The sequence below is a fragment of the Homo sapiens genome, chromosome 8, assembly GCF_000001405.40.
Source record: "Homo sapiens chromosome 8, GRCh38.p14 Primary Assembly".
Classification (NCBI taxonomy): Eukaryota; Metazoa; Chordata; class Mammalia; order Primates; family Hominidae; genus Homo; species Homo sapiens.
Genome location: NC_000008.11, coordinates 96,139,927 through 96,164,262, shown reverse-complemented (window position 1 = coordinate 96,164,262; position 24,336 = coordinate 96,139,927). Strand labels below are relative to the sequence as shown.

Below are 24,336 nucleotides of genomic sequence, written 5' to 3'. Positions count from 1 at the left end.
AGATTTGGACTTGTGGTTTGCTCTTCGTATCTTTATTTTTCACACACACACACACACACACACACACACACACACACACAGAGAGAGAGAGAGCAAGAGAGAGAGAGAGAGAGAGAGAGAAAGACAGCATGAGTGCAAAGGCTTTGGTGTGGTCTCCACATTGGGGTGGATTCCTATCTGAAACTATCTGAAATTTACCCACTGGAGAGGAAGAGATCAGACACTATATACTACTGTGGGTCATTGTCATGATCTTTGAAATTTTTTTTTTAATACAGGAGAAGCATTCGCTTAGGAGTCAGAATGTCTTGGCTCCTAATCCTAGCTGTATTTTGGACTAGTTTAAAACCTCGGGCTCTCTCCACTGAGTTTGTCTGCACCTCTGTTTCCTCACCTGTAAAATGATCGCTGCAGCCCTTTCAGGCAAAGACCAGCTAGAACTTTTCTTGCAAAGACCCGAGGCTGATAGCGATGACGGAGGGTAATGTCAGCCCCAGGGGAATCCTGAAGGACAACAGACCATGGCCTTTGTGGTCCCTGTTTCAGTGTCATTTACTGTTCCGTGTGGCTCCATCTAGCAGGCTGAGAGGTCCTAAACCACAGCAATAGGCTCATTACTTTGTTTCCTGTTTACTGATAACTTGCAGCAGATAATAATTGCTGTGGGCAAAATGAAGAGAGAACACATAGAGTTGCCTCTGCAGGCAGGAAACATACAGTACTTATTGGATGGAGGGTCTGAAACTGTAAAACTATGAATCATTGTTAACCAGGCACCATACTGATAGAAATTAAAATATTGATAACACAAACCACAAGTGTTGTTTCCTGGGGAAGGGATGGAAATAGATCACAAGGAGGGCACTTTCCCGGATGACACTTGAGAGGCAGACATACAGAGCAAGACACAGGGCAGGCCAAAAAAGACCACTTACATCCCACAGGCGACAGGTAGGCAGGGGGGAAATGTTCCTTCTGCAAATGAGAAATGGGGAGTTTTGAGTCTGTGGTTTTACAGAGATTGCATTTGCAGGCCAGCAGAGGGGCAGTGAAGGGGGGACATAGGGGAGAGACATCGAAGGCAGTGGATTTGGTTGTAAAATGTTAAGTGACAAGGGAGGAATCCAACATAATATCTATCCCTGGATTACAATAATATGAAAAGGATATGTGCATAACAAATAAAGAAGGAGTGGAAGGGAACCCAAAAGGTAAAAACATTTGGATTTGTTGTAGTGGCAAAAATTTGAGAAATAATTTTTTCTTTCAGTTTATCTCCTTTTATTTTATTTTATTGTAAATATTAACAAGCCATTTTAAAGCACAGAGAGAGGAAGGAAGAAAATATTATAGTAAAAGCACCTTCAAGTATAAGGTCTCAGAACTTGACAACCATGAAACCCAAACTAGGGGACATAAGTAGAATTGGGATAGGGCCAGAAGGGGCATCCACGGAGACCAAGGGGAGAGCAGCCAAGCTCAATAGCCCAGTGATTAAGAGCCCAGACTCTGGAGTAGTGTGACCCTGGGCCTCACTTTCCCTATCTGTAAAATAGGAATAATACAGCACTTATTTCAGGATTGCTGTGAAGATTAAGTAAAATAATATTGGCGAAGGGCTTCAAACCATGACTGACACACAAGTTCTCTGTGGGTGCTTGCCATTACCTGGAGGAGGCCAGTGTCCAGGGTGGAGGGCATATCCCAGACCTTAAGGAAGTTAAAGGATGAGGGGAGCAGCGCAGCAAAACTCCCTCCCCCTGCAGGCTGTCATGTGAGTGGTCCCTGCAGGACAGAAGAGGTGATGAAAAAGCAAAAGGAAGAAGGGGTTAGAAAGTGAGAGGGAGGAGATTGGAGAGACTGGGAACACACACAGAAAGTAGCATGGCGGAGAAAGAAGCCACCTGAGATCAAGTGAAACCATAAAGAGAAGAAAAAAGCCAGAACTGAAATAGAGAAGTTGGGCCAGGAATGACTGTCTATGCTGTAGTGGGAAGAATCTTGGGCTTGGGGTGGGAGCCTGGGTTCTGTCCCTTGCTGCATAACCTCTTGGCAGAGTGGCCTTGGAAAAGTCACTTATTTCCATTGAGTCTTTTTTTTTTCCATCCGTGAAGGTGAAAATAGTCAACGCCAACCTCACAAAGCTGTTGGCACGATTAAAGGAGGGTACTTTATGGTTGGTGCCTGAGCACCCAATCAGTACTGAGGGAAACTCTTCTGCCCATAGCAGTCCAGGGCAGAGCACTGTGGCAGACAGAAGCAGCGCTACGCCGCATCGCCTTTCAGCGTGCAGGCCCAGGAATGAGCGAGGCAGTGGGCGGGGAAGACAGGCACGGGGAATCTGGGGACAGATAAAGGAAACTCGTGATGGGGCGAGGCTGGGCTGAAGAGAAACAGATTGGGGTAGAGCTGCAAAGGGAGGGGTCCACTGGAAGGCGAGGGGGGAGGCCGGGAAGAGAGAGGGTGGGAAGGCAGTGTGAGATGGGAGGGCAGTGTGAGAAGAAAAGCAGGCTGGGGAAGAGGGATTGGAATGCAGAAGGAACTTGGGGAAGGAGGAAGTCCTGCAGGCGGGAGGGAAAGAAGAGAGGGAAAATGGGGATGCAGTGGAGGCGGGGGGCAGGCCGCGAGAGGGAGAGGATCCCGGGAGCAGACGAAGAAGTGGAGCAGCTAAAGTCTGCGTCAGAAGAGGTTGGGGACTGCGAGAGGAGAGGCTGGGGCCTGCAGGGGAGCGCAGCAGCTTTTAGCATCGATCCAAACTCTAAAGACTCGTGGCCTTTGCCTGACCTCGAGGGTCGGGAATAGACGCCTGTCTTTGTGGAGAGCGATACCCAACCGAGAAAATGGGGCTGTTCCGAGCTGGGCCCTGCGCCTGGCCCAGGGCGAGGCTTCTCTGGCTCCGGGCTGGCCCCTGAGGGGCGCAAACGGCAGGCCTGGCGGTTGGGGCCGAGGAGGGAGGGTACCACCGCCCCGAGGCAGCACGCAGCCTGCAGCAGAGGCGCCTGCTCCAAGCTGTCTCTTGGGGGCGCCGCCGCCGCTTCCCTCCTCCGGGGCCGCTCGCTCCCAGGAAAGTGGAGGCGGCTGGCGAGGACCGAGAGCCGGGGCCGCGCTGCGGAGGGACCACACCTCCGGGAGTTCGAGGGGGACCCTGGCGCGGCGGGCCAGCCTTTGCTCCCCGGCCACGGGCCGGCAGCGCCCGCCTTCCCCCGGTCAGCGCTTGCGGCCCGCGCCGCGCGCACCGCCCGGCAACCCCGCGCGCGTCCCGCGGGGGCGCTGCGTCTTCCTGCCACACCGGCGCACCGCGGCCCCTCTCCCCCACACCTCCGGCCCGCACCACCCGGCTCTCCTCCCACCCTCCCCACCCCTCCTCTGCCCTCCCTCCCCATTCCTCCCCTCCCGGCGAGGGGCGGGAGGGGGCGTGGCGGGGCCGGGGTTTGTGTGGCTGGGACCCGGCTCCTCGCACTCCGAGTCCGCCCGAGGAGCCGGGCCCCGGCCGCTGTCCAGCCGCTCCGTGCCCCGCGCGTCCTGCGCCGCCGCCACCGCCTCCTGGGGAGACGCAGCCACTTGCCCGCCATGGATACTCCCAGGGTCCTGCTCTCGGCCGTCTTCCTCATCAGTTTTCTGTGGGATTTGCCCGGTTTCCAGCAGGCTTCCATCTCATCCTCCTCGTCGTCCGCCGAGCTGGGTTCCACCAAGGGCATGCGAAGCCGCAAGGAAGGCAAGATGCAGCGGGCGCCGCGCGACAGTGACGCGGGCCGGGAGGGCCAGGAACCACAGCCGCGGCCTCAGGACGAACCCCGGGCTCAGCAGCCCCGGGCGCAGGAGCCGCCAGGCAGGGGTCCGCGCGTGGTGCCCCACGAGTACATGCTGTCAATCTACAGGACTTACTCCATCGCTGAGAAGCTGGGCATCAATGCCAGCTTTTTCCAGTCTTCCAAGTCGGCTAATACGATCACCAGCTTTGTAGACAGGGGACTAGGTAAGTGGCAAAGAAAACGCTCGACTCCCCTCCCGCTGGAGCTCGGCAGCCAGGGAGCTGTTCCCGCTGGAGGCTACATTTGTGAATTCCCTTCCTGCTCTGGACACTTCCTTTTTACTTTTCTTAAATTGTTTTTCTCAAGCTCGAGTAAGTTTCTGAATGTGGCTGCGGATTCTATTCCAGTCTCTAAACCTCCCTTCCTTTCCCCCCCTTTCTTTCTCTCTCCCTTCTTTCCTTCTTCCTCTTTTGCAGAAGGCAGCGTGGTTGCCGCTTGTTGGTGGCTGGTGGGGGAAACGTGGAGGACGGGAGGCAGCAGGCGGATGAACCCGGCTGGAGAGGGGTCGGGATGGGGACTGATGGAATCGGTGTCTCGGGATACTGGGTTCGCAGTCCAAGGCCTGAGCTGCTGGGGCAGATCTAGGGCATGAGACAGCCTTGGAAAGCCCTGGGCAAAGCCGGCACTAGGGAGTCCCACAGTCTGAGGAACTAGTCCGCGAGCGGCGTCGGGCAGCCCCCTGGTCCTGGCGCCGCGCGGGTTTTCCGTTGGTCCCTGCGCTGGGTGGGATGGTCAGCCGGGCTGGAGCCCTGCGCCCTCCGGCTTTTTTGCTCCAGCGTGGTGCTCCCGGCTGCTCCGAGGCCTCAACACGAGTGGTTTCTGCAGATGCGGCGGCAGCAGTTGGGCGGGCCGGGACAGGGACGGCTAAGTTCGGAGGTTGTGGGTACTTAATACACAAAGGTACATGGGTATGCCCATCCACCTTTCTCAGCCAGGCGACGTTCCTCTCTCTACGCTATTCCTGAGGGCTGGTGGGGGTCTGGGAAATCCCTGGTACCCTCTGTGGGAACGCCTGCATGTGTGGGTGTCTGCGGAAACCCTTGCGGCCCCTTCTTGCCACCGGCGTTGATCTGCAGCGTGGCCAGTGCCCTCAAGAAAACCTCGCACCACCTCTGGTCCCAGAAATCAGGGAAGGATCCACAGGCATCGGAAACTAAGCTCCTAAAGGAGAGAGACAATAATGTGGAAGGAGACAGGAAAGGAAGGGAGAAAAAGGAAAGGAAGAGTAAAGAGAAGGAAGGAAGAAAATGACGGGATAAAAGCGATTTAGGCAGATATCCACTCCTCCATCCTCCCTAGACTTAGCTCCATGACTTTGACCTGCTCCCAGTTAAGTGGGGTTGCCCGGAAACCTTGCAGCGCTGGGGTTCGGGATTCGGAAGCTGCTTCAGCCACTGCTACCCTGGGTGCTCGCACATCTCTTAAGCTTTTTAGAGCAGGCTAACGGCCCCCCCGCCCCCAGCCCCGAGCTCTTCCCCGGCTCCAGTCCCCGCCTCTCACTCATAGTCGCGTTCCTTGCTCGAGGGTCTCGCCGCTGCAGCCCGAGGTCAGCGAGGTTCATGAGCTGCTGAAAGGTCCAGAGGGCAAATTAACGCCAGGTATTTTATGATGATTTTAGGGCTACTAAAGTCACCTTTGCAAAGACATGTGGCTTCTTCGTAGTAGTGCAACTGAGTCCCTGGCCTCCGTGCTGCCCGTGCAGCTCGCCAACCCTCCCCACGACGCACGCCTTGCTACAGTTGTTTCTGTCCCTCAAAGTCCTCTGTTAATCGTGCACTTTCTCTACTACAATTGCGGAAGGAGGCTAAGGAAGCTCAGAGAAGACTGCTCAAGAGGCCCTTCCTCAAGAGAAGAAGTCCCAGAGGCCTAGGCTGGCCGGCGGTTGGGCGCGGATTTTCTTTGCCCGGGAATGAAGTGGCAAGAATCTCTGCCCCTCCCCCAAGTGGGCACCATAACTGGTTCGCTGCGCCCTGTGAATTTGGCACAGGACCAAAAGACCCTGCGGGCTGTTCGGAGGTGTCTCCGGAAGCCTGTGGCATTCAGACAAGGGTTGGGGAAAAGTCTTGGGGGCCCCAATCCGGCGTAGACGCGAAATCACTTTACCCTGGTTTGCCCTGTAGCCTCCCCACCCCCATCCCCGCCACTGCGCTGTATGCCCCCGATCCTGGAGATAGAGGAGGGATTGCATGTGCACCCAGTCTGGGGAGGCCTCTGTTCCCGAGCCAAGGCCTCCAGACTAGCAGGACCGAGATCCACAAGTACCGCTACAACCCCGGAATGCGGTGGAGGGCTGGGGATGCGAGCGGTCCACAGCGGGAGGAGACGCTGCATGACCACCCGGACAGCATCTTCAAAGGCGCTGTCTCCTCCGCGTCTCCGGGTTCTCAGAAAATGCGAAGAAAGGCAGTTCGTTGACTGGGAAGGCGGTGCGGCTTGTCGCACGCCGCGCGGGGGTGAAGGAGTGCGGAGCCACGGGCGGGAGGGGTGCGCAGAGGAGGGGGTGCGTTGCTGGCTGCAGCCCCAGCTTGATAAAGGGAAAGCCTCACTTTCCCTCTCACTGATTTTGATTTGATGTGTCACCGGCGGTGACCTCAGGCTGGACCTTCCGGGGCTTGCTTAGCATCGGGCCCCTGATTGGAGTGTTTCAACTCAGCGATCTAATTGAGGGTTCATGTCATAACACATCAAACGGTGTCTCGTCTCCCGTGATGGAAGGGACCCGCCAGCCGCGCATCCCCGGCTCCTGGCAAGGACTTCCGCCCCTCTCACGTGGGGCTCTTAACCGCGCCAACCCCCCTAGGGTCCCCTCCCCCAACGCGTGGACGGCCTGGCGAGGAGGAAAGAGCAGCGGCCCGCCTAGAGCTGGGCCAGCAGCGCTAACTTGGCGCCTTGCCTAAGGGATGTTTAAATCGCCGTCGAGTGGGGCTGGCCTGGCTCGGTGGAGCCGGGGGTCCCCCAAGGGGAGGAGCGAAGAAAAGGAAAGGAGCCCCGAAGTCAGTCCAGGAGGCATGGGCGACTTGCTCCTGTACAGTATCTGTAAAAAGCCTTCCTTACCCCGGAAACCCCAAAGTTACACCTGAAGCCTATGGTTGAGAGTGGGAGAACAGGCATAAACTCTGCCCAAAGTGAATGAAGGACGCTTTAGGTTTATAAAGAAAGCAAGTTCTGTACTCCATCCCAGGCCACTTCTCCCTATCCTCCAGGAGGAGAACTTATTGGGGAAAAAAAAAAGAAACCAAACAAACCTAAAACAGGTCCCTTCTTTCAGTATGCTCTCCAGACACCTAGGAGTAATAATAGTAACCACGATTTATTGAAAATTTACTGTGTACCAAGCATTGCACTAAAATTGGTTACATGAATTATCTCGCTTAGTTATCACAACCACTTCCTAGGAAAACGCTATCATCACCACGTTTTACAGGTGAAGTAAAGAAGACAGAGGAGTTAAGCAAGTTGCTCGAGGTCACACAGCTAGCGAGAGGTGGGGCCTATATAAGATTCGAGACCCTGCATGTTTAACTAGAGCACTGTATAGATAGTTTAAGTGGTGAGGTGGTTTCTAATGGATGATGACAAGAAGCAGAAGTCAAAAAATGGAAAGATTTTCCCCCAGTCTAATATTTGTCTGCAGTCACTTAAGACCCAGTTAGGAGTGTGAGTGAAACTAGATGTGAGGGTCTGAATTTTGGTGTGCTTTGCTTCCTCCTGTTCTTATTTTAGCAGATGCACAAACCATATTATCCCTGATTTTTAAAAATGCTCTTATATTGTGCTTTAAAAATGATGTTGGATCCATAAAGGTGAGAAGGTGTGTGCCTGTGTGTTTAGGTGCCATCATGGGATGAGAATGGACAAGGTTGGATATGATGAAATTACAATTTGCTCATGAAATAACTCATTAAAAGGCTACTAGTACTGGGGCCCTGGACCCCCAGCCCTGGGGCCTGGGAAAGCCAGACAATTAGTTCTATGAATTTAGCAGGGCTGAGAGATAGAGGGGAGGGAGGAAAAGAGAGAGACAGAGAGAGAGAGAGAGAGGGAAAGAGAGAGAGAGAGAGAGAGAGAGAGAGGGAAAGAGAGAGAGAGAAAGAGACTGACTGATTCAGACTTTCAGTTTATGTAGGGAAAGGTGCCACATAATTCCAACAAGGAGAAAAAACAACTCTCAAGAATGAGAGAACCGAAATGAGTCTAAGACTATTGCTGTGAGTTAGGTTTCCAGATGGCTTTGAAATAAGAATACCCTTTACTTTTTTCTTGTTGTAATAATATTCTCAAAAAGGAGGCAGTAAGGAACAGATAAAAACCAAAACGAGATGGGAACATCCTTGAAGAACTTGATGCCCTAGAAATAACTCTCAGGACAGTTTGCCACTGATTGTTTGTTGGCTTCTCCATTCACCTTCTGGGTCGTGATTACCAAAGGGCAGAGCAGGACCATTCTGGGAATAGCCCGGCTGCGGGGAGGGCATTCAGAGAGTTGCATAGTCCCCTCGCGATTGAAGTTCATCTGGTACCTCATGTTATGCAAAACAGCGGGTTTCTGGGTGGACCTGAGCCGCAGAGTGGTGTAATCAACTCAGCAGTGCTTTTGCCGGTACCCTGTTGTCGTTGGCAAACCGAAAATGAAATATAAGCAGGGAAGTATTTTAATGGGGACGGAGGGAATTCACAACTGTTAATTATTTGGTGACCTTGTATTCGATTTGTTTGAGTCCCTTATAAAAACACTAATGCAGACCAGACGGCCAAATGAGGAAGCTGGGCAGAAGGTTCCAATCTAGGCTTTATTTCCCCGGAAAGAGGGAACAGCCTTGGAAAAGACTTGCTAAGCGTTCAAGTGTGTGCGTATGAGGGTGCGCCTGCATGAGCGCGGGCACGGGGTTTGTGCCACTGTCCAGGCTCACGGTCCTCCTCCAGCCAGGTGAACTGGAAGGTCCTGCAAAAAGCCTGGGGGTAAGGGAAAGAAGCCTTAAATTGGAAGTTTGTTTTGCTCTTCTGGTTCGAATAAGTAAGGCACGTTTAAGGCCACAGACCAAACTCTTAGGCACTGACTTGCTGTTAAACATCAGTTATTGTAGTTCCAATCCTTAAGGCCTTAAGGTCTGCCTTACAGGGAAAAGCAAGAAGATTCTAAAAAGAAAGAAAGAAAGACCACCTAGTATGCTCTACAGCGAGAGCGCAGGTTGCGCAGGGATTCTTGGCGAGTTTCCTTGGCAAAGGAGGCTAATCTGAGACGGACATAGCGTTTTCCTCAACGCGGGAGGCTCTCGGGCCTCTGGGAGTTCGCGCGGTGGAGTTGCCGATGGGGGAGGGGATCTAAAAACGTGCTCAAACATCCTTGTGGTTTCTGCGCATTAAAAGAAAAAAGTCACTCAGACCACAGATCACGACAGGCCTGGCGAATCCCTCTTCTCCACCCTCCCCACCCCCCAATTGAATCAGGACTTGAAAGCTCCTCTTTCCGACCGGAGAGGATGCGTGTCACCTGGACCCGCGGGGAACGCAGGGCACTGCATCGGAGGCCCTAACACCACATGTTTTTCTTAGCTGGAGTCCTTGAGGTTCTTACACACCTCCTCGAAAGTGGTGACGTCTTTCTGGGGCGGTGGCGGAGAAGGAAGAAGGGAATGAGGTGGAGACTGTGGGGAGGAAGATGGTATGATAGAAACAGGGCAGAACGAGAACTTTTGTTTCCTGCTAGGACTACTGCGTGCACCAAAGGTCTTAGAGCAAATCAACAGTAATCCCTGGGGGCTTTTAAGTAAAAGGAAAGCCATTAGTTCGATAACCCCTCGGGTATTGAATAACCCGGGTCAAACGACACTCTTTGGACCAGGGGACTGAATCGAGCCGAGCCCTCGAGGTGTGGAATGCCGGAATGTGGATTCACCGTGCCATTCCGTTGCTTGACATCCCTCCATCCCCCACCCCAAGGCCTGGCTGTTTATTTTTAAACTCTAAGTCGGTTAAATAGTATCTCCTGTTTACAGGAATTAAATAGGTCCTCCTTGGACTAATGGGTTCCAGGGTTGCAGTTCTCTGCCTTCTAAGACAGTCCATTAGCATTGCTGGGGACTGAGGGTTGGGTCCACTTGGGGTGAGGGGCTGCAAGAGCTTGGAAGGGGCGGGCGGCGGGCGGCGCTGGACAACGTTCCTAGGGAAGCGCGCGCGGCGGCGCTAGTGGCCCCGGCGCCTGGGGGCGGGGCATGGTTTAGGGACCCGAGAGTGGGCGTGAAAGAGGCCAGGGGCGGGCCTCTAGCCCAGGCTGGTTTAGCTTGGGGAGAAGGACAGAGGACGGGCACAGGGGCAGCGCAGGGGATTGGCTTTAGTGGGGTGCAGAGGGCATCCCTTAATAACATAGGAGCCCAGGAGAATCGGTGCGCCTGCTTTGCAAACCTGGCTTCCAGGCAAATTGGTCCAGCCTCCCACTCCACTTCCCAGCCCACTGCCGCTCCGAAGCTCAGCGTGGAGGGAAATTGACTAGGAATAGACTAGGGCCCACGAATCTCACTTTGCTAAATTGTTTCGAAAGTCAGACCTAAATGAACACCGCAGACAGAGATTGCGGCTCTCCCTTCCTCCCAGACTGCACACGGCCCAGCACCTTAAAGAGCACAGCACAGCGGTTTCTCCTGCGCAGGACCCCTGGGTGCTGAGTCCAATATCCTCCCCGCGACTACAAGCCAGTTTGAACCCTCGCCCCCACCTGCAAGCTCAGAACTGGTCAGGGAGCGGAAGTCACATAAAATGAACACCCTTCCTTCTACTTTTGATCTCAAAACTGAAGCCATGCAGCCCGATCATATTCCAGCTCCGATGGCAGTTTGAGGATTCCTCCCTTTCCGCTCCCCTAGCCTTCGTGGAGGACCTGGTTGCTCCCCTGGGCTCCCGGGTGACTTACCGGTCGACAGTGCAGGGAAGGCCGCCCCTAGCCAACCCCCCAGGTCCCGGCCCCAGGGGAAGGGCAGGCCGCGTGCGCGCCTCAGTGAGATGGGGAGGGAGGGCTCAGCGCGGGAACAGTACGAGAGCTTCGGTTTGGGTTTCATCTGCAGTGATGTCAAATTAAGATTTGAGCCGCTGTGGTCGGGAGCCCAGAATGGGACCCCGTTGAAAAGAGAAGCACAGTGAAGTGCCCTTGATCTCAGCTTTGCCTCTCTGGCCCCTCAAGAGAGCACGCAGCCATCAGGGTCATTAACTAAGTTCAGGAAAACTGCTTTGTAAATGAATCTGTTTCATCCTCTAGAGACAAAAGGAGTTTCCTTAAAGCGCCTTGGAGCTCCTGATAGGGTGAGCAGCACTCACGGGAGAGGGCTTCTCCCCAGCCAGCACTGCTTGTCAGAAACAGGCACCCTGGGGTTAGAGCTAAGGCCACTAAAGGCGGTGCTGAGGCCCCGAGGTGAGGGGTGCGAAGCTGTTTTCAGTTGGGTGGGATTCGAGGATCTCCTTTCTTTTCTTTCTCTCCACTCTCATTCATTTGCCTCACCTTGAGCCGCAGCTTGCTGTGCCCATACAGGGATTTCTCCCAGGGATCCAGGCAGGCCACTAGACCCACTTAACTTGTGGAGTCTACAAGGCCCAGGCCCCTCAGGAAGAGAAGGGCCTGGGTCTGGAGGCCTGAGGGAAAGAGTGGAAAAGCCTCTCCAAGACTCCGTGGAAGACTTGCCTTGGACCCCTCTGGTCTTTGGAAGCAGAAATACAGGGCAAGCTATTGGGGAGGGCACTGGGGAAGCCAAGAGACATGAGAAAAGCTGGACTGGTGAATGTGTGATGAGAAGGAACACACACTGAAGACAGACCCGCCAACGAAACCTTCGAAAGTGACAAGCACCACAGGCCTGGCCTCATGCTGCAGCCCAAGGGGCCCTCCATTGCAGCCCTCCCCATCAATATGTGTCTGGCCCTTTGCACAGTGAAGATCAGTAACATCTGCCTCCTTATCCCCACCCCAGACTGGCCCTGTGGTCAGATCGTGCCCCCACAAAAGGACACCAAAGTGGGGAAAGAAACGAATCCTTAGGCCTCTCAGGGCTGCACTGCCAGCCAGGGAGTCATTTGGGTTAGCACAAGGGCTGTCACTGGCCTTGACCCCTGCAGAAGAGGAAACCTGCAAGAAGGGCTGGATCCTTGATGTGGCTGGGGTGGAGGTCATCTGTTCACCTGGCACTGTGGGAGGGACAGCAGTGGTGACAGGGCCTCACAGGACTGAGAAGAATCGGGATGATGAGGTGAGGCTGCAGCCTCCATGAGCCTTGACTTTCACTTGACTTCAGATAAGCAGGAACTGGAAGCGTCTTCATCTTTCTCATGCTTCCTAGCACCTTTCCTCCACTCACTTCTGGAATCTTGTGGAGAGAAGTGGACCACAAGGACTGAAGTCCAGAGAACTGGATTTCAAAGGAAGTCAAGAGAAGGACAGGTGCACCTTCCCCTAGAAGATGTAAGTAGTCACAGAAATATTGGCTGCATTCACTGGACGTCTCTATGTACTATGCACATCCCTGAGGTACTTTGACTCTGACCTTTACAATGATCCTGCAAGGTACAGGTGGTTCTCTCATTTTACAGCTGAGGCATATGAGGCTGGGAGAGATTATGCGACCCAGTCTAACCAAGGTCACCCAGCCACTAAGTCACAGATCAGGACTCAAATTTATGTCTCTTAGACTTTAAATTCCTATGCTCATTCCACATTGTCAGTAGTGACTGACATTTGCATTCAGAAGTCTTTCTCTCACACCTTATCTCATTTGCACCCCTCTGTGGCCCTGTTAATTTTCCTCCTAAATTCTCTTTCACAAGTCCAATCATCGACATTTCTTCTGCTGAAGTAATGACTGCTGTAGTTCTGCTGAAGTGAGTGACTCTTGCCGGCCAGGGATTGATGCCCTCCCTCCAGGCATGGGCAGCATGGAAGAGTTTCTCAGGGTTTCTACAAGGCACAGAGATCAGGGCTGGGATGTCTAGGGTGGTGGCACAGATACTGGAGCCAGATTGCCCACTCTACTACTTAGTATCTTGAGCCAGTTACTCAAGCTGTCTCTTTTAGTTTAGAATGATGGCTGTCTCAGAAGTGGTTTTGAGAATTAAATGAGTTACTACAAGTTAAGAATTTAGATCATGCCCAGAACAGATTTAGTGCCACACCAGTGTTTGCTCTTAACGATTATTATGCTGGGGGATCAGGCATGAGTATTGGGGTTAAGAAAAAGCACCCTGGAAAGGGTGAATTGTATGGACTGCTTCCCGAACTTACATCTCAGTAAGAATGTTAGCAATGCGTCAGCAGCTTGCAAAGCTCAGATCTCAACAGAGGCCTGACTCAGGATGAGTATCTCCTCAGGGGGAGGCCCAAGAGATCTGTATTTCAGGAAGAGGGTACATAGTTGGCACACAGATTCCCCTTAAAGCCCTTCACACTCCAGGAGGAGGGGTTGGTGGCTCATTTTTAATCACCCAGTACACCTGGCTCTATTTCCAACCTGATGGACTTTGCCCCCTCAGTGCAGCGCGGAAGGTGAGAGACTTAGTTGAGAAAATGACTCCAAGCCCAGTCATGAATTTTGAGCTTGGAGGTCTTCTTTGTAGTAAAGAAAAGAAAAAAAATCCTGGGGGAACCCAGCCCACCTTGATTACACTAATGATGAAGCTATGTCCTATTTCCTGGCCCCCTGCCAAAACAGGACCCTGGTAGAGCAGCATGGCTGCAGGACTGGGGTCAGAGTACTTGGAATTAGGACCTTCAACACCTGTCTCTTGCGCTGCAGGACTGGGGTCAGGGCACTTGGAATTAGGACCTTCAACATCTGTCCCTTGCTAGTTTCAAGACAATGGGCAAGATACCTCTTAGAGCTTTAGTTTCTTCATCTATAAGTGAGTATCACAGTAGGCCTGACCTTAGACGTTCGCTGTGAAAATTCAGTGAGAGAGGCCATCAAAGCTCTGAGCACGTGCCTAGCACAAAGGTGGTGCCCTACAAGCGCTCAATGCTGCTGCTGGCTCTAAAATGAGGGGGTAAGGGAAAGGCGCCTAGAGTTTCTCTTGCAAAGATGGGTGATTCTCCCTGCCTGGGGATTGGGGATGGGAAAGTCCACTATCTTCTCGACTTTCTGGACAGTGGCCTAGTCGCGGGGCCTGTGCCACCGGAGAACATGGCTGGGAGGCGTGGCGGGACGCCTGGCCAGTAGCTATCCAGGGTCACTGCGTACTCAGAGATGTGAGCCAGGTGCGCGCGGAGGAATCTCGTGGAGCCCAAAGTCAGCCGTACCAAGAATCCTGCAAGTCCGGGAAGTTGGAGCCGTGGGTGCACAGCCAGGCGAGTGACAAAATCCAACTAGGACTTTCAAAAGGGACCTCAAGCTGAGTATATATCTCAGAGATGTCTTGGGAAAATGCAATGCCAGGCCCTTCCCACCTCCAACCAAAGGAAGTTTCTGGTTTTTGGAAACCCTCTACAGGCTAGCCCAAGGAAGTAGCCCCCAGCAGAAGGCTCTGGGGCTGGAGTGGGCAGGCTGGAGTGGGCAAGCGCACAGAGTCCTGCAGCTACGTGTCCCTCCCTCATGCCGCCCTCTTGGGGCTCAGGTTCCCCGGGCGTCTGGCCTTTGGCGTTGCGGGCATCTTTTCCTTTCCGCTCTGGAGTTTGCCACTCCAACTTTCTCCAGCCACGTACTGTGACCGTGGACAGATGCCCTTTTCCTTTCTAGGCCAGTTTTCTCATTTAAAATGGGTGCAATGGTAATTACTTTGCAAATAGGTACCATTCCTTCTCTTGGTTTCTTTTTTTAGTTAAAATTTTATTTTTTACCTTATATTCACCCTAACTGAAAATTTGTACCCTTTGACCAACATCTCCCCTCTTTTAAATTTTTCCTAAATTCTACACCAGAAATATATGTTTGAGGTGCTTTCAGCCTTTTACCAACTCGTTGACCATTATGAAGGAGTATCTTCTAACATGCCACGGTTTGTTCCTTCCTTCTTATTTTTCTCTCTTCACCCTCCTTTCTCTACGTAGCTGCCAGGAAACGAAGATAAGCCCTAATCCAGCAATTGTAACTGGAAATGTTTATATGTCTAATGTTCAGCAAACACCGTTAACAGAGGTGTGAATAAGCTGTAACAAACCAGGTTGATGCAAAGTAAAAGGGAAATAAAAAACTCCCACCATGTATTTCTGGTCAATTTCAATTTAAGGGCCCAAAGCATAGGATTCACTTCCAGGATGTGGGAAAGTGCCACAGATTTTCAAGTGACAAGTGCATGTTTTTTTAGTCAAAGGGGTGGGAGAGAGGATCATTTGATGACATCAGTCTTCATTTATACAAGACTTAATGGGAGAGGAGGCTTTTGGAACGGAGTATGAAGGGCTGGCTTTTTGCCCACAGATGGCTCATGGCAGCTGAGCCAGGCTCTGTGATGCCAGGTCAGCAGGCAGCAGGCAAAGTGTCTTCAGGGTAACAGTGCATGGTGTTGTATTCACTCCCCAGGTTGGATGCCTCCTCTGAGCTATTTCTGTGATGCAGGTTTAGACAGGTAGGGAATGTGGTCTGCAGGGGAGCTGCACAGAGGAGCCACCTTCTTGGACCTTCTGTTTAGGGGTTAGAGGTTCTGGAGACCCAGAACCAAGAGAACTTGTGGCTGAAAGGATAAAAAAATGGGGGTGGCTTTGGGGGCCACGAATGGGCTGGGAGAGGTAGAATTGACTTGGTCCTGGTGAGTACTGCCTTAGATGCTGCCCTGAGCCCTGTGCTTTGCAGCACCTTGTTTGGTGCTCCCCCCTACTCAGTGGTGAATTCAAAGAACCTAGAGGACAACCCCCAGTTAGATCAGTGGTTCTTAGAGTAATTTCTTGGACCAGCAGAATCAGCATCATCTGGGAGCTTACTAGAAATACAAATTCTAGACCCTACCACAAGCCTCTAGAGCGAGAGAGAATTTGCATTTCTAGCAAGCGCCTATGTGATGCTGATGATGCAGATTTAAAGACCACTGCAGATTTAGTGGCTTTGAGAGTCACTATTCCAGACCAAGCTCCAGATACCTGGGCCATATAATTCTTGCCCAAATATCCCTGAGCTCACTTGCAGGGTCTGGACAGCCTCTTCATCCATTCAGTTCCCCCAAAGGTAGATCGAACCACTGATGTGTGCACCTGTGAAACTGTGCACAGCTTTAAGCTGTCAGCTGGGATGGCCACATGCTCACAGGTGAGGCCCCTTGAAGTAGGTGATGGAGCTAGTGTGGAAAGAGAAGAGAGAAGAAGCTGAAGTCCCATTTGCATTCTTGCACTGAAACGTGGAAAGGGTAGGGGTGGGCTGGTCTTGCTGGAAAGATCATCAGAAATCCTAAGGCTGCAGAATCAGTAGGAGATCTTTCTCTACAGATGCTTGCCTCAGTTTTAACTCAGCTGTGCAAATTAATCATTTATTAGCCCACACATTTTTTTTAAAAGAGTAAAAACAAAAGCAGGCTGATTTCCCCCATATTGCATGAGAGAGAAGTAAATCATAATTCTTTACACCTGCCTAATGCACTCCAGCCAGTGGCAAACCATCTCAAGAGTTGTGTAAGCAAAGATGGAAATGATTTCCTAAGGGAGCCTAGATTTTATTCCTAGCAAGCCCTGCAAATAATTTGGACTCTTTTCCCCTTTTCTTATACACTGGCCACTTCTGGTTACTTTTAGACTCCAGTACCTGGACTACAGTGGAGAGGCAGTGGGGTTTAGGGGCTAAATGCTCCAACTCTGAATTAAATAGACATAAGTATGGCTCTTAGCCTCACCACTTTCTGGCTGTCTGACTTTTGGCAATACCTTAATTTCTCCAATCCTTGGTTTTCTCATCTGTAAAATGGGAATAATACAAGTAATTACCTTTCAGAACTGTTCTGTGCAGGTGGATATAGATTGGAAATATGTTATTCCTAACCACATTTAGCTAGTGCAGCAAGTGCCTTAGATTTGTTGCTCTCATCTCATCCCTAGTTTGGGGAGAGAGGCAGGAAGCCAAGCCTAAGGCAGTACGTCCAGAGATCTGGGTGGAGGCTGAGCATTGTCAGACACAGGTTTCTTTGAAGGAGAAGAAAGTGTGCTGAATTCCGCCTGATTTTAATGTGACCCTGGTCTGTTTGAAGGTCTTGGCTTCCATAAATCAACTGCCTGCAGCAGCTTTTCCCTTTTCACCTCTCTAACCCTTCCCACACCCCATCTCAGGTTGGGGCATGTGCGTAAGAGTGAACCAGCCAGTGCTACGGTCAGCCCCGAGTACAAACTGGGTGTGGCAGAGGCTCCAGAGCCAGTGCCCCCGGGCTACATCTGGACTGGTAGAGAGGGTTGGATGCTGGGCCCAGTGACACTTTTACTATTGAAATCGACCCAAACTTTACTAGCTTCTGGGGAAGGCTGGGGGCTTTGGGGATTTTTGTATTTGCTGGGTTGTAAATATTTTATGGGAAGGCAGCCCAGGAAAATCTGGTTAGCTTTCCGCCTTGCACATTGAAGTGGAGTTGGCTTCATGCACAAATGTGTCAAAAAAGAAGTCCGGTTTTGCCTTGGTTCTGAAGAATTTGCCTTGGATTTTAAAAGCCTGTTACACTCCCCTACCTCACCTGTCCTAAATTTCTTTTTCTCACTTATGACCAAAACTTTTATCTTCAGGAATAGTTGCAAAGTGAGAGAATTTTAGATTGGGAGTGGGAGGAGAGATGGGAAAGTCTCTCTATCTCTCTCTCTCTCTCTCTGTGTGTGTGTGTGTGTGTGTGTGTGTATCTAATTGTCCCTGGCTGAGGTTTTCTGCCTTCCAGTTTTCTGCCTTCCAGGTATATATTTTTCTCATTGACTGCAGGATGTTCTCAATGGACAGATGCAAGGTGTGTGTGTTTGTTCATTTGTCACCCCCTGCCCCCAATACTTCTGAAACTTCATTGCTCTTTTGTTTGTTGTTTAATGATTGGTGAATAAATAAATAAATCTCTCACCAGCTCTTCATTCTGCCTGCACTGTGTTGGACCCACCAAAACCGCCTGATGGGCAGCAATGTTACCCCAGACTAGTGAGTCTAAACTAGAACTGCACCTTTAAGTCATCTTGGAGTTAAAAAAAAAAAAAAGCAAACAATAAACAAAAACCCCATGGCCAGTCCTGTCCTTAGACAGTGATTCAATAGGCTGAATCAAGCCCTGGTCCTGGCAGTTTTTCAGTTCTCCAGGACATTTTAGTGGGCCAGATTAAGATTCGCTGTCGTAGAAGTTTCCCACTTACCTGACCGGCGTGTGCTCCAGGTCAGGAACCGCCCTAGGCACTGAGGGGAGCAAGGTGGACAATGACATCGGCCTAGCTCCCGTGGGTTGGTGGAGGCAGACAGAGTGTTACTGGGAAAGGCAGACTACTAAGGAGATAAAAGTAAACAAGGTAATTGTAGATAATCCTAAGTACTGGGAAGATAATCAAGCCAGTCCTGTGATAGAGACCTGGAGAGGCTACCTTAGATCAGGGTGCTCAGGGGTGGCTACTTGGAGGAGGTGACATTTGAGACGTCAACGAGAACGAGCCAGCCCAGCCCAGAGGAGGTCTAGGGGAAACGCGGCCCAGGCTTGAGACCACAAAGGGCACATTAGTGGTTACGAAGCCTTTTGGGGGGAAAACCCGGTAGGCCGCCGCCGCCGCCTCGCCAGCAGCCACCGACTTCCGCCCTGAGAGTCCGGAGCTGACGCGAAGGAGGGGGCCCGTCCTGGCGCGCCCCCTTCCCCGCGCCATGCACCAGCCAGATGGGGAGCCGGGGTGGTCAGGCCCTGGGCCGGGCAAGCTGGACTGCCCGGCCGACCTGCCCCCACTCCCCGCCCTTTTCCTCCCGGGGCGGCCGAAGAGCACCGGGCTGATCTCCCCCTTAAGTGAAACTGACTGTAATTATTTTTTATCTCGCAGACGATCTCTCGCACACTCCTCTCCGGAGACAGAAGTATTTGTTTGATGTGTCCATGCTCTCAGACAAAGAAGAGCTGGTGGGCGCGGAGCTGCGGCTCTTTCGCCAGGCGCCCTCAGCGCCCTGGGGGCCACCAGCCGGGCCGCTCCACGTGCAGCTCTTCCCTTGCCTTTCGCCCCTACTGCTGGACGCGCGGACCCTGGACCCGCAGGGGGCGCCGCCGGCCGGCTGGGAAGTCTTCGACGTGTGGCAGGGCCTGCGCCACCAGCCCTGGAAGCAGCTGTGCTTGGAGCTGCGGGCCGCATGGGGCGAGCTGGACGCCGGGGAGGCCGAGGCGCGCGCGCGGGGACCCCAGCAACCGCCGCCCCCGGACCTGCGGAGTCTGGGCTTCGGCCGGAGGGTGCGGCCTCCCCAGGAGCGGGCCCTGCTGGTGGTATTCACCAGATCCCAGCGCAAGAACCTGTTCGCAGAGATGCGCGAGCAGCTGGGCTCGGCCGAGGCTGCGGGCCCGGGCGCGGGCGCCGAGGGGTCGTGGCCGCCGCCGTCGGGCGCCCCGGATGCCAGGCCTTGGCTGCCCTCGCCCGGCCGCCGGCGGCGGCGCACGGCCTTCGCCAGTCGCCATGGCAAGCGGCACGGCAAGAAGTCCAGGCTACGCTGCAGCAAGAAGCCCCTGCACGTGAACTTCAAGGAGCTGGGCTGGGACGACTGGATTATCGCGCCCCTGGAGTACGAGGCCTATCACTGCGAGGGTGTATGCGACTTCCCGCTGCGCTCGCACCTGGAGCCCACCAACCACGCCATCATCCAGACGCTGATGAACTCCATGGACCCCGGCTCCACCCCGCCCAGCTGCTGCGTGCCCACCAAATTGACTCCCATCAGCATTCTATACATCGACGCGGGCAATAATGTGGTCTACAAGCAGTACGAGGACATGGTGGTGGAGTCGTGCGGCTGCAGGTAGCGGTGCCTTTCCCGCCGCCTTGGCCCGGAACCAAGGTGGGCCAAGGTCCGCCTTGCAGGGGAGGCCTGGCTGCAGAGAGGCGGAGGAGGAAGCTGGCGCTGGGGGAGGCTGAGGGTGAGGGAACAGCCTGGATGTGAGAGCCGGTGGGAGAGAAGGGAGCGCAGCCTTCCCAGTAACTTCTACCTGCCAGCCCAGAGGGAAATATGGATTTTCACACCTTGCCTGGCCACCCTGGAAAAACAAGCCAAGGAGGATTTCTTTTGTTCTGTTTTCTCTCTCTCTCTCTCTCTCTCTCTCTCTCTCTCTCTCTCTCTCTCTATTACTGTGGCTTTGGATTTCCTTATGTGTCTTACAGGCTTTGATAGAAGGGGAGGGGAGGAGAGATGCATACCCGTTTCTCAACTGCTCCATGGATTGAAAAAATAACAGTTTAAAAAGGGAAACAATGTGGGAGGAAGAATCACCGTTGACGCATCTTGATTTGGTTGGTTTTTACATGTGTAAAGAAGGTGGGGTCTCTGGCCATGTCATAGCCCATGTCTTGTGCCCTCCCACACAGAAAGTGTTAGATAGGGAAATTGGCAAAAAGAATAGTTAAGTCAGGAATGGTCCTGCCTATAGAAGAGCTTTGAGAGAGGTGGGCCCACGGGTGCCCCTCTCACCCATTTGTGTACTCTGTGAGTTTACCAGCTCTGCCCTGGCCTCTTTCGGTACCAGGAACTGGCAACCTTCATCTCACTCCTGAGGGCCCAGGTCTCTGCCTTCATTGTTGCTTTTTCTGGTGGGGGCAAGGGGAGCTGGTATGGATGGAATGACAAGAATTAGTCCAAATGGAACCCCTTGAAGGATAATGAGAAACCACAAGGCCTGCCTCTGACTGGGGCTGACACGGAGGTGCATTAGCCCAGGCTGGAGGTAGCCCACCCAAATGCCCTTTCTGATTCTAATTGATTTCTTTCAACAGAATTTGCCAAAATTCAGACATGCACTTCTAAGGGGAAGGTGATTTTCCAGTTCAAAAAAATGGGCAGGAGTGGGGAACAAAACAATTAACGTAAGAGCTACAAAGGAGGGAAAAGGAACCAAGAAGTAGAAGGAGTCCCATCAGGAGGGAAGATGGTGGGCCTCAGGGAGGATGGGGATCAAGGGACAGGCCAGGAGCCAGGAGTGGGGAAGGGAGGGATGAAAGGGGACACAAGTCCCTGTCTCTGAAGTTTCTTTAAAATCTGAGTTCCCTCCCCTCTCTTTGACATTCCTGAAAGATTACCAGCCAGCAATAGCCCAGGGCTCCCCCAAAAGAATTGGTTCAGATTGTAATTATCAGTTAGGCAATGTTTTTAAAACTTAGTAATGAGAAACTGTGAAAAGAGCCAAGTGTTACATTGAGCTTGGGGTGGGAGATGGGGAACAGGCAGTGAGGAAGGAGACAGGGGTGGAATTCGTCTTCTGGGAGGAAGCTGGAGAGAGCACAGTGAAATTGAAATACCCATTCCCAGATAGTCAAAAACATGAACTTTCCCCCAGCCTGCACCAGTATTGTTTTCAAACATTGCCCATGAGTAGGCCCTTTGAAGAGTTAGCTTCCTCCTCATCTTTGACTATAAAATTGTTTAATCAATGGAATTTGTACCAGCCTTTTAAAAAGTTTTAGTTTTTCCTAAGTGATTTTGCTCTCTTCCAATCTAAACCTGTTGCTTGTTTGGTTCAGAGAACTACAAACTGTCAAAGAAAGGGTGGGGATGATAAGAAATGCTAATATAAAAATGCTAAGTGAAAAAAAGACTTGGCCAGGAGAAATAATTTAAAATGCACATTTGCTTTGGATGCACTGTTGTTCTGTTAAGGCTGTATATATTTGTTTATTTAAGGTGACTGAAAGTGCAAAGAGGAAATGGACAGCATGCAATTCATCCTAATGTACAAAACGTTATATGCACTCAAATGTTATAATTTCTAATATTTTTAAAGTTTATATTCGAGTTGTACAAAGTTAAGCATTAATCAGATATTTCATTTTTTCATAATGTTACCATTTTCTTAAATATTATTACAAAATTTTAAGTCTGTCTAATGGAGAGTTTTTTTTAAACTGTCTACCTCATATAATACAAGTATTTACAACGCTAAAGTTACCAGAGGTCAATGAATAATCAAAACATTTTTTACAGTACACCTTTCCTGGATGATATGCAATCGAATGCTATATTATTAAACGCATTTTTCTCCTTAATAACTCAGCCTGGTTTATATGGATCGATTTAGAAAAATCCTTTTCTCACAGAATTATTGTCAGAGGTAGTTTGTTCCAGTTTGGGACTCAATGCCTGAAAACAAACTGATGATTTTAAAAATCTATCATTTAGAGCATTACACTTTTTCTTCATAACTCTTCAATAACTCCTTTTTCATGACATTTTTATTACTAGAATAAAGCCAAATCCTTGTCACCTATTAGACCAGTGTTTATAAGCCTGTCCCTCATCCCAGCACTTCAGGAATCCAAATAGAAATTGGATTATTTCTTAGTTGCTTTAATGTTGAAAAAAACAAAGCAGTAATGTTGAGGTAAGAAAGTGGTTACCTAAGTCAACCAAGATGTCAGTGTAATTACTCATTACCTTTGTGGCATACTGGAAGCAGAAGATACAAATGTTTTTCTGTGCTTGCTGTGAATTGGGGAACTCATGTGTGAATGTGAGCACTCACTCTATCAGGCATGATGTTATTCTACACATGTAGAATCTCATTTAAAACCCTCAGAGGTAGATATTATTATAATCCCCATTTTACAAATGAGGAAACCAAGGTGCAGAGAATTTAAGTAACCTGCCTGTGGGCATCCAGCCAGGGAATTGTAGTTAGGATTTAAAATTAGTTCATTCAGACTCTAGAGCCTGAGGAGTTAACCACTGTACAATTCTGTCCCCAGATCATCTACCTGCTCTCTGATTGGTCCCTAAATATTGACGTGGGGAATGTGCAGTTAGCTACAATCCTTAGGGTTGGTCAGCTGGCGGAGGAGGAAATGGTACAGAGGCCAGCAGCATTGCCTGAAGTTTTGGAGTGTGTGAATTGTAACTGCTGGCATAAGGGCAGCTGAAAAATGGGTATGGGTTGCAAAACTCCTTGAATTCTTAGCTTTGGGCTTGGCCCAGTAAACTTACAGTTTAAGCCATTACTGGGCTTTGGCTCTCTACTCTTTGCTGGGACTGCCCTGGGTGTGATTTTTATGAGTTTTGGTTATCAACACAATAGTCAATTTACAAATAGGTCATGTTTCAAAAAACTGGTTGCAAGTGGACCCTTAGAACTAAGAAACACTTTCCCGTGGACACGGTGATTGTTTGAGTTTCCAGGTCATTTTGCAGAAACTTTATTTACCCAAATGGAGCTTTTTAACAAAGCAATTTTGACTTCTGAGTTTTGAGAGGATGTAATCACCTGGGAAAGTGGAAAAGAGACTGTCTTTTCTGGGTGGAAGCTGCTTTTGAAATCGTTGAGAATTCTTTGCATTTTTGCACCACTCTTTTTATACCTGGCACCCAATTTGCCCAAGCTCACGAATGCCCTGAGGACTACCAGACTTGTACTTTAATATGTTCCCAATCCAGAGATTTCCCTTTTCTGAACAAATATTTTCATGTCTAAAGTTATTTTTCTTTCTTTCCTCTATTAGTTTATTCCTTAACTCAGGTGTTAGGAAAAACACAATCTGATTGAATTGCATGAAAATGTAAATATCTCCTAGCCTTTAACCTTAGAGAGATTTGTATTTTAAGAAGAAAATCTTGGTTAACTCAGATTTTTTGGGAATGATGTGAAAAACTCCAGAACATAGAGGAGAAGATTCAACACTCAAGCTACACACAATTTTGAGAGTTAAACGTGAATGAGGCACTAGTGATAAAAGAATGAATAGAGACACTTGTCAATGTGAGTTTTTGGTGTCCCTTAGGAGAAATTCTGTGCAATAAAGAGGCTATTTATGGCAGTTTGTTTTATTGTTAATATCTAACATATTAAAGCAAAGAATTTAATAACTTAGTTTTTAAATTTTCTCTAAAGCTTTTAAGTTTAATGTGTCCAGGCCCCATTATGATATGTTTTTGCCCTTGTTTTGCTCATTGCTATATTCCTAGCACCCAGAATAGTGCCTAACACCTAGCAGACACCCAGTAAATATTCTGAATGAATACATTACAAATCCTAGTCTACTTGTAAATCTAGAAATTTTGACAGTCACTTTCAAGGGAGCCTTTGATTGATGTCTTCAACTCACATTGAATGGACCAACCTCCCTTAATTAACCAATTCTAGTTTCAACCTAGTTAATAAACTTCCTTTAACTATTGTACATTGCTTTTATGAGCTTAATATATCCCATTTTCTTTTTAAGGCACTTCAAATTTCTTTAATGGGAAAAACCTTCCAATATACTTAAACCATTCCAAGTAAAGCTAATACACTAAACTTCTAAAGATGGTGATTCATAAGTTCTATTAAGCATCCCAATGTAGTTTATACCTTTTGACTCAACATCAGGAACCTACAATTAATTACTCAACTACCCATTTAAATTGGTGTTAGAGGCTAACCTGTTAGGTATCTTAATAAAGTACATTTTTAAAGCTCGCAA

The 24,336-nt window shown here is 50.4% G+C and overlaps 1 protein-coding gene across 1 annotated transcript, besides 1 other annotated feature; it reads left to right on the top strand.

The window, feature by feature from the left end:
• Positions 3,457–21,930, top strand: GDF6 (growth differentiation factor 6). Its single transcript, NM_001001557.4, has 2 exons — positions 3,457–3,976; positions 18,739–21,930. The coding sequence occupies exons 1-2, from the start codon at positions 3,571–3,573 to the stop codon at positions 19,698–19,700; spliced, it is 1,368 nt and encodes a 455-aa protein (NP_001001557.1). The 5' UTR covers positions 3,457–3,570; the 3' UTR covers positions 19,701–21,930.
• Positions 18,578–18,637: a silencer, noted in NCBI's record as "silent region_19385". NCBI's record gives its function as "represses an Ori minimal core promoter by ATAC-STARR-seq in GM12878 lymphoblastoid cells {active_cell/tissue: GM12878}" and the evidence as "EXISTENCE:reporter gene assay evidence [ECO:0000049][PMID:35858748]".